Source organism: Homo sapiens, chromosome X (genome assembly GCF_000001405.40).
Source record: "Homo sapiens chromosome X, GRCh38.p14 Primary Assembly".
NCBI classification, from domain to species: Eukaryota; Metazoa; Chordata; class Mammalia; order Primates; family Hominidae; genus Homo; species Homo sapiens.
Genome location: NC_000023.11, coordinates 64,290,856 through 64,302,992, shown reverse-complemented (window position 1 = coordinate 64,302,992; position 12,137 = coordinate 64,290,856). Strand labels below are relative to the sequence as shown.

The 12,137-nt window shown below is 41.6% G+C and overlaps 2 protein-coding genes across 3 annotated transcripts in view, besides 1 other annotated feature; one reads left to right on the top strand and one right to left on the bottom strand.

Moving 5' to 3' along the window:
- Positions 1 to 12,137, bottom strand: part of LOC112268307 (uncharacterized) — a 106,617-nt gene that overhangs the window by 9,570 nt on the left and 84,910 nt on the right. The window lies entirely within an intron of this gene.
- MTMR8 (myotubularin related protein 8) overlaps positions 1 to 12,137 on the top strand; it is a 127,372-nt gene that overhangs the window by 92,460 nt on the left and 22,775 nt on the right. The window lies entirely within an intron of this gene.
- Positions 689 to 1,190: an enhancer, noted in NCBI's record as "H3K4me1 hESC enhancer chrX:63521683-63522184 (GRCh37/hg19 assembly coordinates)". NCBI's record gives its function as "activates a minimal SCP1, AML or CMV promoter by ChIP-STARR-seq in naive H9 embryonic stem cells {active_cell/tissue: H9 hESC(naive)}" and the evidence as "EXISTENCE:reporter gene assay evidence [ECO:0000049][PMID:30033119]".

Sequence of the window (12,137 nt, the reverse complement as noted above, 5' to 3'; positions counted from 1 at the left end):
TCACAGCACGAGGCCATCCAGACTCTCTGGTATAGGCCTGAGGGCACAACCCATAAGGGGAGGAGGGCTAAGGAACTCATGAAGGAGACGGAGCTGACATGTCTATTAATATATGATGTTGCTAGGCAGCACAGCAGGGAGTCTGTGGGTCAGGGAACTCTGAAGACCAGCAGCAGCTTGGGGTCTTTATTGCCCTACAGTTTTTCTTGTCTATGGGTAGTAGATATTTTGTGAAGTTTTGCAGTGTATGTAAAGCAGGCAGGCTCTAATGCCTAAAAATATACTCATGTGGGCTATATTTAAAACAATTGGCTGTGTAACATTTTCAGATTGGTACTATCAAGCTTTTCAGCTAATGGGTTCCTAACCTGTAATGAAGAAGTAAACAGCATAGGGTCCGAGGGGAGGAGCCAAGATGGCCGAATAGGAACAGCTCCGGTCTACAGCTCCCAGCGTGAGCGACGCATAAGACGGGTGATTTCTGCATTTCCATCTGAGGTACCGGGTTCATCTCACTAGGGAGTGCCAGACAGTGGGCGCAGGCCAGTGGGTGTGCGCACCGTCCGCGAGCCGAAGCAGGGCGAGGCATTGCCTCACCTGGGAAGCGCAAGGGGTCGGGGAGTTCCCTTTCCGAATCAAAGAAAGGGGTGACAGACGCACCTGGAAAATTGGGTCACTCCAACCCGAATATTGCGCTTTTCAGACCGGCTTAAAAAACGGCGCACCATGAGACTATATCCCACACCTGGCTCGGAGGGTCCTACGCCCGCGGAATCTCGCTGATTGCTAGCACAGCAGTCTGAGATCAAACTGCAAGGCAGCAGCGAGGCTGGGGGAGGGGCGCCCGCCATTGCCCAGGCTTGCTCAGGTAAACAAAGCAGCCAGAAAGCTCGAACTGGGTGGAGCCAACCACAGCTCAAGGAGGCCTGCCTGCCTCTGTAGGCTCCACCTCTGGGGGCAGGGCACAGACAAACAAAAAGACAGCAGTAACCTCTGCAGACTTAAATGTCCCTGTCTGACAGCTTTGAAGAGAGCAGTGGGTCTCCCAGCACGCAGCTGGAGATCTGAGAACCGGCAGACTACCTCCTCAAGTGGGTCCCTGACCCCTGACCCCCAAGCAGCCTAACTGGGAGGCACCACCCAGCAGGGGCACACTGACACCTCACACGGCAGGGTATTCCAACAGAGGGTCCTGTCTGTTAGAAGGAAAACTAACAAACAGAAAGGACATCCACACCGAAAACCCATCTGTACATCACCATCATCAAAGACCAAAAGTAGATAAAACCGCAAAGATGGGGAAAAAACAGAACAGAAAAACTGGAAACTCTAAAACGCAGAGCACCTCTCCTCCTCCAAAGGAACGCAGTTCCTCACCAGCAATGGAACAAAGCTGGATGGAGAATGACTTTGACGAGCTGAGAGAAGAAGGCTTCAGATGATCAAATTACTCTGAGCTACGGGAGGACATTCAAACCAAAGGCAAAGAAGTTAAAAACTTTGAAAAAAATTTAGAAGAATGTATAACTAGAATAACCAATACAGAGAAGTGCTTAAAGGAGCTGATGGAGCTGAAAACCAAGGCTCGAGAACTACGTGAAGAATGCAGAAGCCTCAGGAGCCGATGCGATCAACTGGAAGAAAGGGTATCAGCAATGGAAGACGAAATGAATGAAATGAAGTGAGAAGGGAAGTTTAGAGAAAAAAGAATAAAAAGAAATGAGCAAAGCCTCCAAGAAATATGGGACTATGTGAAAAGACCAAATCTACGTCTGATTGGTGTACCTGAAAGTGATGAGGAGAATGGAACCAAGTTGGCAAACACTCTGCAGGATATTATCCAGGAGAACTTCCCCAATCTAGCAAGGCAGGCCAACGTTCAGATTCAGGAAATACAGAGAACGCCACAAAGATACTCCTCAAGAAGAGCAACTCCAAGACACATAATTGTCAGATTCACCAAAGTTGAAATGAAGGAAAAAATGTTAAGGGCAGCCAGAGAGAAAGGTCGGGTTACCCTCAAAGGGAAGCCCATCAGACTAACAGCGGATCTCTCGGCAGAAACCCTACAAGCCACAAGAGAGTGGAGGCCAATATTCAACATTCTTAAAGGAAAGAATTTTCAACCCAGAATTTCATATCCAGCCAAACTAAGCTTCATAAGTGAAGGAGAAATAAAATACTTTACAGACAAGCAAATGCTGAGAGATTTTGTCACCACCAGGCCTGCCCTACAAGAGCTCCTGAAGGAAGCGCTAAACATGGAAAGGAACAACCGGTACCAGCTGCTGCAAAATCATGCCAAAATGTAAAGACCATCGAGACTAGGAAGAAACTGCATCAACTAACGAGCAAAATCACCAGCTAACATCATAATGACAGGATCAAATTCACACATAACAATATTAACTTTAAATGTAAATGGACTAAATTCTCCAATTAAAAGACACAGACTGGCAAATTGGATAAAGAGTCAAGACCCATCAGTGTGCTGTATTCAGGAAACCCATCTCATGTGCAGAGACACACATAGGCTCAAAATAAAAGGATGGAGGAAGCTCTACCAAGCAAATGGAAAACAAAAAAAGGCAGGGTTTGCAATGCTAGTGTCTGATAAAACAGACTTTAAACCAACAAAGATCAAAAGAGACAAGGCCATTACATAATGGTAAAGGGATCAATTCAACAAGAAGAGCTAACTATCCTAAATATATGTGCACCCAATACAGGAGCACCAAGATTCATGAAGCAAGTCCTGAGTGACCTACAAAGAGACTTAGACTCCCACACATTAATAATGGGAGACTTTAACACCCCACTGTCAACATTAGACAGATCAATGAGACAGAAAGTCCACAAGGATACCCAGGAATTGAACTCAGCTCTGCACCAAGCAGACCTAATAGACATCTACAGAACTCTCCACCCCAAATCAACAGAATATACATTTTTTTCAGCACCACACCACACCTATTCCAAAATTGACCACATAGTTGGAAGTAAAGCTCTCCTCAGCAAATGTAAAAGAACAGAAATTATAACAAACTATCTCTCAGACCACAGTGCAATCAAACTAGAACTCAGGATTAAGAATCTCACTCAAAGCCGCTCAACTACATGGAAACTGAACAACCTGCTCCTGAATGACTACTGGGTACATAACGAAATGAAGGCAGAAGTAAAGATGTTCTTTGAAACCAACGAGAACAAAGACACAACATACCAGAATCTCTGGGACGCATTCAAAGCAGTGTGTAGAGGGAAATTTATAGCACGAAATGCCCACAAGAGAAAGCAGGAAAGATCCAAAATTGACACCCTAACATCACAATTAAAAGAACTAGAAAAGCAAGAGCAAACACATTCAAAAGCTAGCAGAAGGCAAGAAATAACTAAAATCAGAGCAGAACTGAAGGAAATAGAGACACAAAAAACCCTTCAAAAAATCAATGAATCCAGGAGCTGGTTTTTTGAAAGGATCAACAAAATTGATAGACTGCTAGCAAGACTAATAAAGAAAAAAAGAGAGAAGACTCAAATAGACACAATAAAAAATGATAAAGGGGATATCACCACCAATCCCACAGAAATAAAAACTACCATCAGAGAATACTACAAACACCTCTACGCAAATAAACTAGAAAATCTAGAAGAAATGGATACATTCCTCGACACATACACTCTCCCAAGACTAAACCAGGAAGAAGTTGAATCTCTGAATAGACCAATAACAGGAGCTGAAATTGTGGCAATAATCAATAGTTTACCAACCAAAAAGAGTCCAGGACCAGATGGATTCACAGCCGAATTCTACCAGAGGTACAAGGGGGAACTGGTACCATTCCTTCTGAAACTATTCCAATCAATAGAAAAAGAGGGAATCCTCCCTAACTCATTTTATGAGGCCAGCATCATTCTGATACCAAAGCCGGGCAGAGACACAACCAAAAAAGAGAATTTTAGACCAATATCCTTGATGAACATTGATGCAAAAATCCTCGATAAAATACTGGCAAACCGAATCCAGCAGCACATCAAAAAGCTTATCCACCATGATCAAGTGGGCTTCATCCCTGGGATGCAAGGCTGGTTCAATATACGCAAATCAATAAATGTAATCCAGCATATAAACAGAGCCAAAGACAAAAACCACATGATTATCTCAATAGATGCAGAAAAAGCCTTTGACAAAATTCAACAACCCTTCATGCTAAAAACTCTCAATAAATTAGGTATTGATGGGACATATTTCAAAATAATAAGAGCTATCTATGACAAACCCACAGCCAATATCATACTGAATGGGCAAAAACTGGAAGCATTCCCTTTGAAAACTGGCAACAGACAGGGATGCCCTCTCTCACCACTCCTATTCAACATAGTGTTGGAAGTTCTGGCCAGGGCAATTAGACAGGAGAAGGAAATAAAGGGTATTCAATTAGGAAAAGAGGAAGTCAAATTGTCCCTGTTTGCAGATGACATGATTGTATATCTAGAAAACCCCATTGTCTCAGCCCAAAATCTCCTTAAGCTGATAAGCAACTTCAGCAAAGTCTCAGGATACAAAATCAATGTACAAAAATCACAAGCATTCTTATACACCAACAACAGACAGAGAGCCAAATCATGAGTGAACTCCCATTCACAATTGCTTCAAAGAGAATAAAATACCTAGGAATCCAACTTACAAGGGATGTGAAGGACCTCTTCAAGGAGAACTAGAAACCACTGCTCAAGGAAATAAAAGAGGATACAAACAAATGGAAGAACATTCCACGCTCATGGGTAGGAAGAATCAATATCGTGAAAATGGCCATACTGCCCAAGGTAATTTACAGATTCAATGCCATCCCCATCAAGCTACCAATGACTTTCTTCACAGAATTGGAAAAAACTACTTTAAAGTTCATATGGAACCAAAAAAGAGCCCGCATCGCCAAGTCAATCCTAAGCCAAAAGAACAAAGCTGGAGGCATCACACTACCTGACTTCAAACTATACTACAAGGCTACAGTAACCAAAACAGCATGGTACTGGTACCAAAACAGAGATATAGATCAATGGAACAGAACAGAGCCCTCAGAAATAACGCCGCCTACCTACAACTATCTGATCTTTGACAAACCTGAGAAAAACAAGCAATGGGGAAAGGATTCCCTATTTAATAAATGGTGCTGGGGAAACTGTCTAGTCATATGTAGAAAGCTGAAACTGGATCCTTTCCTTACACCTTATACAAAAATCAATTCAAGATGGAGTAAAGATTTAAACGTTAGACCTAAAACCATAAAAACCCTAGAAGAAAACCTAGGCATTACCATTCAGGACATAGGCATGGGCAAGGACTTCATGTCCAAAACACCAAAAGCAATGGCAACAAAAGCCAAAATTGACAAATGGGATCTAATTAAACTAAAGAGCTTCTGCACAGCAAAAGAAACTACCATCAGAGTGAACAGGCAACCTACAAAATGGGAGAAAATTTTCGCAACCTACTCATCTGACAAAGGGCTAATATCCAGAATCTACAATGAACTCAAACAAATTTACAAGAAAAAAACAAACAACCCCATCAAAAAGTGGGTGAAGGACATGAACAGACACTTCTCAAAAGAAGACATTTATGCCGCCAAAAAACACATGAAAAAATGCTCATCATCACTAGCCATCAGAGAAATGCAAATCAAAACCACTATGAGATACTATCTCACACCAGTTAGAATGGCAATCATTAAAAAGTCAGGAAACAACAGGTGCTGGAGAGGATGTGGAGAAATAGGAACACTTTTACACTGTTGGTGGGACTGTAAACTAGTTCAACCATTGTGGAAGTCAGTGTGGCGATTCCTCAGGGATCTAGAACTAGAAATACCATTTGACCCAGCCATCCCATTACTGGGTATATACCCAAAGGACTATAAATCATGCTGCTATAAAGACACATGCACACGTATGTTTATTGCGGCATTATTCACAATAGCAAAGACTTGGAACCAAGCCAAATGTCCAACAATGATAGACTGGATTAAGAAAATGTGGCACATATACACCATGGAATATTATGCAGCCATAAAAAATGATGAGTTCATGTCCTTTGTAGGGACATGGATGAAATTGGAAATCATCATTCTCAGTAAACTATCGCAAGAACAAAAAACCAAACACCGCATATTCTCACTCATAGGTGGGAATTGAACAATGAGATCACGTGGACACAGGAAGGGGAATATCACACTCTGGGGACTGTGTTGGGGGCGGGGGAGGGGGAAGGGATAGCATTGGAAGATATACCTAATGCTAGATGACGAGTTAGTGGGTGTAGCGCACCAGCATGGCACATGTATACATATGTAACTAACCTGCACAATGTGCACATGTACCCTAAAACTTAAAGTATAATTAAAAAAAAAAAAAAAAAACCAGCATAGGGTCCATATACAGAGGCTATCTGTGGTTCATTTATATAACAGTCCGTCCTCTGGCCCCATGGTATTTTTTGCTTGTTTTGGTTTTTGTAAAATATACATAACATAAAATTTACCATTTTAACCATTTTAAGTGTACAGTGTAATCAGCAATCAGAAGTTGTGCATCTACCATCATTATCCATTTCCAGAACTCTTTCATCATCCCAAACAGAAACTCCATAGCATAACAAAATAACTCTCCATTTTCCCCTCCCAGCAGCCCCTGGCAGCCCTCTATTCTACTTTCTGGTCTTTATGAATTTACCTATTCTAGGTAGCTCATGTAAGTGAAGTCATAGAATATTTGTTTTTGTATGTGTTTGTGTCTGGCTTATGTCACTTAGCATAGTGTTTTCAGGGTCCATCCATGTTGCAGCATGTATCAGAACTTCATTCCTTTTTGAGGCTGAAAAATATTCTATTGTATGGATATAGCACATTTTGTTTAGTCATCCATTGATGGACATCTGGGTTGCTTCTACCTTTTAGCTTTGGCTAATAATTTGTCTATGAATATTGGTATTCAACTGTCTGTTTGATTTCCTGCTTCGAGTTCTTTGGGGTATAACCTAAAAGTGGATTGTTGGATCATATGGTAATTTTATATTTAACTTTTTAAACGACTTCGAAGTTGTTTTCCACAGTGGCTGTGCCATTTTACATTCCCATCAGCAATGCACAAGGACTCTATTTTTTCTGTATCCTCACCAATAATTGCATTTTTCCTTTTATTTTTTGGATAGTATCCATCCTAGTGGGTATGAAGTAGTATCTCGTGGTTTCGATTTGCATTTTCCTTATGACTAGTGGCATTGAGCATATTTTCATGTGCTTATTGTCCATTTGTATATCTTCTTTGGAGAAATATCTATTCAAGTCCATTGCCCATTTTTGAATTGGGTTGTTTTTTGTGGTTGAGTTTTAGGAATTCTCTATATATTCTTTATATCAATCCCTTACCATATATATGATCTGCAAATATTTTCTCCCATTCTCTGGTTACCTTTTTATTCTCTTGATAGTATCTTTTGATGCACAAAATTTTGATAAAGTACAGTTTATCAATTTATTCTTTGTTGCCTGTGCTTTTAGTGTCATGTTGAGGAAATCATTGCCAAATTCCATGTCATGAAGATTTCCCCCTATGTTCTCTTCTAAGAATTTTACAGTTTTAGTCTTGTAAATCTTGTGAGAGAAAAAAAGAATTTTACAGTTTTAGTTCTTGCATTTAGGTTTACCTCAAGAGAATCTAGGAAACAATTTTGTGTGTGTGTGTGTGTGTGTGTCAGAAACATCTCATTTTAAGTTTTATTCAGGTGCACTTACGGGAGAGCCAAAGTAATAGCTTCCTTTAGTTTATCTAGTACCTCGTTGCTCAGGTTCTCACTGAAAAGTGAGACTTACAGGTGACTCAGTAGCAAATATTGGAGGTGAGGAGTGTGTTGGAGCCAGAATATAAACATTCCTATCAAATGTTGGATCTTCTTTACCAGTGTGGGAGGTTGGAGCACTAGGAGCTTGTCTTACCAGACTGAGAATACTTCACCCTTCTGAGTTCCAAAGGTAACCCCAAGATTTAATAAAGAGGTCTTGTACCTTATGTGGGGGCAGTTGCCCATCTGCTATAGGCGATATTTATGTTCTCCCAAATTCATATGTTGAAATCCTAACTCCCAATGTGATGGTATTAGGAGATAAGGCCTAGGCATTAAGAGAAGGCAAAGCCCTCATGAATGGGATTAGTTCCCTTATAAATGAGACCCCAGAGACATTGTTTTCTCCTTCTGTCATGTGAGGACACAGCAAAAAGACAGTCATCTATGAAGTAGGAAGAGGACCTTCACCAGATGCCAAATCTGCTGTCATCTCGATCTTGCACTTCCTAGCCTCCATGACTGTGAGGAATAAATATCTATTGTTTATAAGCCACCCAATTTATGGTATTTTGTTATAGCAGCCTAAGTGGACTAAGATACCATCCCCTCTCATTGAAGTGTTTGCTCACAGTTGTGATAACCTCAGAGACAGAATCTTGGTAAGATTTAGTAAGGAGGATTTTATCAATATAATGCCAAAGCTGAATTTCTGGTGGAAATAATGGGGCAGGCATCTAGGTCATATCTGCACAAGTTCGATCACAGGGCTATTTGAGTATCCCATAGGTGGCTGGGAAAAAATATACTCTTCACCCTCAAAAGTGAAGGCAAATTGTGATTAACTCTCCTACAAAATATTTCCCAATTGGAGCATGTTAGGCAAGTCTATAACTCCATGCCATTTATCTATGTTGTTTTGAATGTCATCCATTAAGGTGATGATATCTAGTAGAAGTGCTCCAATAAAAAGGTGCTCTTATTTAACTCTCTATAGTTAGCTTCCATTTATTAATAGTGGCTTTACACATAGGCTATACCAGAGGATTGACAGGTGAGATGGTAAGAATCAGTACACGTTATTTAAATAAGCTATGATAGCCTATAATCCTTCAGGGTCTTGCCTTAGCTTGTACTGTGCCGTATTTACCACCTGCCCTGGTAGGGGAAAGTTAACTGGTTCCCACCAGGTAGTGCCCACCAATACCATAAAAGCCTTAGGTTCTATGGAGTTACGAGCTGATTGAAGAAGTCCATTCAAATAAGGAAAGGGGATAGTCTCAGGGGTACAACCAGAATCAAAGCATCTTTTAGCAGAACTGGATCAATTTTAATAGTTAAGTAAGTAATTGCTCCTTTACATAATCATCCTCCTGGACAGGGTGAGGAGTGAGGGGATTCCTTTAGAGCATGAGTGATTCTTAGGATTAGGGAGATTTGGGCACCCATGTCCAACAAAGCCAGCCAATGTTGTAGAGCCAAACTACAGTTAATATGGTAAAAGGGTGATTGTCTACTGGAAGTAGCCACCTTCTGCAACCACCAGATCCCTATGTGGGTGTGGGTCCCTGCCACTGGAGGAGATCAGGAGCAGGCTTCCCAAGTGAGGCTGACTTTGAATACCTGCTGCAGATTGTAATCTAACCCTAGTAAATGTTAATACTTGCTTCACCAATGTATGAGAGAACATCCAATTTGGGCCCCTTTGTCCCTTAGGGTCCAATGTAACCCCTTTTGTTTACTCAGGGTTCAAGCTAAACCACGGACCTGGCTCTACGTGGTTTGCTTGGTCTAGAAGGGTGCAGCATAACTGTTGATAGTAATTTTGATTTAGGCTAGAAGGGGTTATAGTCATAGAATTAACAGGCAACACTTGAGTTTGTCTTTCATGTATTTCTACTAAATCCAGTGAAGCTATGAACTCTTCAGTTGTTTTAGCATTAGCCATTATTGCCCAAAAAGAGGACTTACACTTATCAGGCGCCCTCCTGAGAAATAAGTCGTTAGACAAGGGATTGAATTCCGTTTCCTCTGGACTTGCCAAGTCATCATGCTGCAGGTCATCTGTTGCCTGATAAACCCACTTCAGCATCCCCAGCTGATGTAGGAGATCTTTGACCTTGGTTAACATTTTCCATTGACAGTCTTCCCAGGCCTTTATAAGGCCTAGTATAGGATGGAAAGCCCACCAAGCCAAGCCGTAAAAATCCACATCAACAAGGTATATGTGGACTGAGGCACAAAGCCTCTTTTGAGGGTCACTCCTACCTTCCATGCTTATTATGCGGGATACTTTGGCAGTGACACCATTTTTTTCCATCTTGTACTATGGCAGCCAATTGTTTAATTCCCCTATTAGGTGGAGTTTGCTCCCTGCCAGATACATTCTGTATATATAGTCAGGCAGCCCCTTTTTCATTCAGTTCCTGGGTCAGGTCCTTACGGAGAGACTGGACATAAGGGCAAGAAAGATGATGCATTTTCTGCTCCAAAAGAGAAGTGGCCCTCTTCTTTTGTTTTTCTGTCTTTATGACTTTGCCAGTGGTTACTGGCAAAGCAGAGGGTAAATGATCCTAGTCCCTAGCATGATGACACCATGCTGCTGCTTTCTTCTTTAGAGGTCACCAGTTCTCTTCCCCAGGATCTTCCCTTCCAACTCATCTCCTGCAGGAGTTTGAGTTTCTACCTCCTCTCTGTGCAAACCCTGGTGAAAAGCAACCAACAGCGAGGTCCAACATGCACCTACTTTATGGTTTGGAGCATCCCTTGAGTAGGATAGCCACTTCCTTTGGTGTCCTGGAATGTAACTTTCCTTGATTTAGTCACTTGAAATAATGCTTTAGTCGGCTCAGCCAAAAGATGGAGAGCTCAACATACTTCCAACAAAGGACTAGAATGAGAGTATCTAAAGCATAATTGTCATGATAGCAGAGGACTACTAGCTGCTTGCAAGTGTCTCCCAATTGTGCTTAGGAGACCAGCATCGGACTGACATATCTGCCTTATCAGCTTGTTTGCCTGCCATAGCAGTGTCCAAGGACAAGGATATTCTCTCATCTCAGAGTATTCTCATCACATATCACCAGTCTGGACATGGGGAACTCTCCTACTATAGCCCATTATGGGATCTGGGGTAACCCACATGTGGTCCAGAGGTATGTACTTTCCCTTTTTCTATTCAGGCCCACAGGTGCCTACCTAGTGCCTTTCTAGTGGGAGATCCAGGTGATCAGGCTGACCTTCCCTGGGCAGCTTGGTGCCTCTCTCTCAAAAGTCAGTTCTGATGGCGAGGATTTACTCAAATACTGGCACTACCACTTGTCCAGGCTCATGAGGCATGGGGGAGACCATAGAAAATATAGAGTGTAATTCAGTACAGAAGAATGCCATGCCAAAGTTATGCGAACGTGTTCCAAATTCTGAGTCCCAAGCACTTAAGGTCGTCCAGGGTTGTTTTGACAGTTAATCCTCCTATTGACTTGGTAGGTCCCATATTGATTTCCTGGTCATCACCAAAATTCCATCCTTGTTGCCACTTGTAATGAGTTGAGGGATTTCAGGACTGATCAAGGAAAGAAGGAAAAGATATGACCACAGTAGCACACAACAAGCTTTTTGAGGGGTGTGTGGGGTGTTCAGCAGGCAACACTTTGACAGGTTAGCATGAGTGTAGAGGCCAGCACGCAGAAGGGGAGGAAGGCAAGGAAACTTCTCTTCAAGAAAGAGGAATATCAGAGGGGCTTACGTGTTTAGATGACTAGGCAGCATGTCAGGAAGTTGCTGGGTCAGAGGGTTCTGAAGGGCAGCAGTGATGTGGGGTCTTTATTACTCTGGAGTTAATCTTATCTTTGGTTAGCAGATGTTGGGGGCAGTTTTGTGGGGTATGCAAGACAGGCAGGCTCTAAAGGGTTAAAAATATGCTTAGTTTGGCTATTTAAAACAATTGGATGTGTAAAAATTTGAGTTTGGTACTAGCAGGCTTTTGAGTGAATGAGTTCCCAGCCTGCTAAGAAAAAATAAACAACATAAGGTCCATATGCAGAGGCTACCTTTGGCTCATTTATGTAATAGAAATATGAAATAGTATGGAGCCACTTTGAAAAACAGTTTGTCAGTTTTCTAAAAAATTGAATATGCAAATGCCATATGCCCCAACAATTGTACAAATTGTACTCTTGGCCATATATGCCAGAAAAAAATCAAACTTTCTGTTTATATGAAAACCTCTACATGAATACTTATAGCATTTTTATTCATATAGTCAAAAACTGAAAACAACCCAGATGTCCTTCAACAG